Source organism: Homo sapiens, chromosome X (genome assembly GCF_000001405.40).
Source record: "Homo sapiens chromosome X, GRCh38.p14 Primary Assembly".
NCBI classification, from domain to species: Eukaryota; Metazoa; Chordata; class Mammalia; order Primates; family Hominidae; genus Homo; species Homo sapiens.
The window spans coordinates 112,738,175-112,739,580 of NC_000023.11; the positions used below are offsets into that span (position 1 = coordinate 112,738,175).

At 40.2% G+C, this 1,406-nt stretch overlaps 1 annotated feature.

The window, feature by feature from the left end:
- Positions 372-954: an enhancer, noted in NCBI's record as "OCT4-NANOG hESC enhancer chrX:111981774-111982356 (GRCh37/hg19 assembly coordinates)". NCBI's record gives its function as "activates a minimal SCP1, AML or CMV promoter by ChIP-STARR-seq in naive H9 embryonic stem cells {active_cell/tissue: H9 hESC(naive)}" and the evidence as "EXISTENCE:reporter gene assay evidence [ECO:0000049][PMID:30033119]".

Here is a 1,406-nt window from a genome sequence, read left to right on the forward strand (position 1 = left end):
GCCCTCTGCAAATTTCTCCAGGCAGTTAGACATGTTTATCTTTGCATTCCTATTACACCTGTCTATTATAGCACTTTCTACACTCAATTATTATCATCCACTTAACTTATCTTAGCCTCAGTTTCCTCATCTGGAAATAGGGGATAATAACAATTTCTCCTTTATAGGTAGTGGTGAGAAGTAAAAAAGACAACACATGCAAAGGATGTAGCACAGAGGTAGCCCCGAATAAATAGGAGCTGACATCAGTTGAGCTCTCAATATGTGCCAGGCACTTTACGTGTATGAATTCATTTCATTGTCCTCGTATGGTAAGTACAACTATTGCCTCCATATTCTAAGTGAGGACACGATGACTCAGGGGCTGAAATGACTTGCCTAAGGTCACACAGTTGGTTAGTGGAAGATCTGGTTAAACCCATGTGGCCTGGTGTCAGACCACGCTCTTAACCACTATTCATCTGTGTACACTTTCTCATCCCTACTAAATGTGAACTCCTCTAGGACAGGAACTACTCTTTTCCTCATCCAAAAGTTAGACTCACAGTCTCTAACTCTCCCAAGTCTGCTCCCAACAGGAGATAGGGGTGCAGATTTCCAGCCCTCCACTCTGCTTAGATAATCAGCACTTTACCTTTCCTCCCTCAATTGCCCCCTGCTATTCAGCTACCTTGCCCTAAAACAATGTACTTTACATTTCTAAGCCTGTCTCCAGCTACTGCTTTGCTCCTTTCCATTGCCTCAATTACTTTAATGCTTTCCAGATCCATATGAGGAGGCCTGAGAGCACTTCAGGTGAAAAGAATATGGTTGTACACTGCATAAGAGTTTCAATCACTGTTCATTAATTGTTTTGGGTATAGTTTTAAAATGATTATAAGCAGAACTACAAATGTACCACACAGGCCAATATTCTGATTGGTTCTGTCCAGACTACAGTCTGGGACCTACATATACCAGGTAAACTCTGCAAGCATCTCAGTCTATCCCAAAGATATTAAATGTTGATGTTGTTTTACAGTCTTAAAAAAGAGATTAACATAGAAAGTGAAGAACCAACAGTAGCTCCAGAATTTCTATATAGAAAAGCTGCATCTACTCACCTCCTACCCTTTTACTGTTTGCATTTACATTCTTTATGTGAAGAGGTTTGGTGGGACAGGTAAAAATTAAGGGATTTGTCTTGAAAAACGTGTTTGTAGAGCAAGCACACTTTTTGTAAGCTTCTTTGGCATAACTTGATTAATATGGGCTAATACCTCTTTCTCCAAGTCAAATGGCACTACCACTGTGAATGGCTTACAGTCACACAGTGAGTCTTAGGTAAAAGATAGATTAGAAGTTCTCATTTCTTGGCTCCAATTGCTGGGTTACAGAAAACTTAGTTCCACCATCCTTTCAAGACA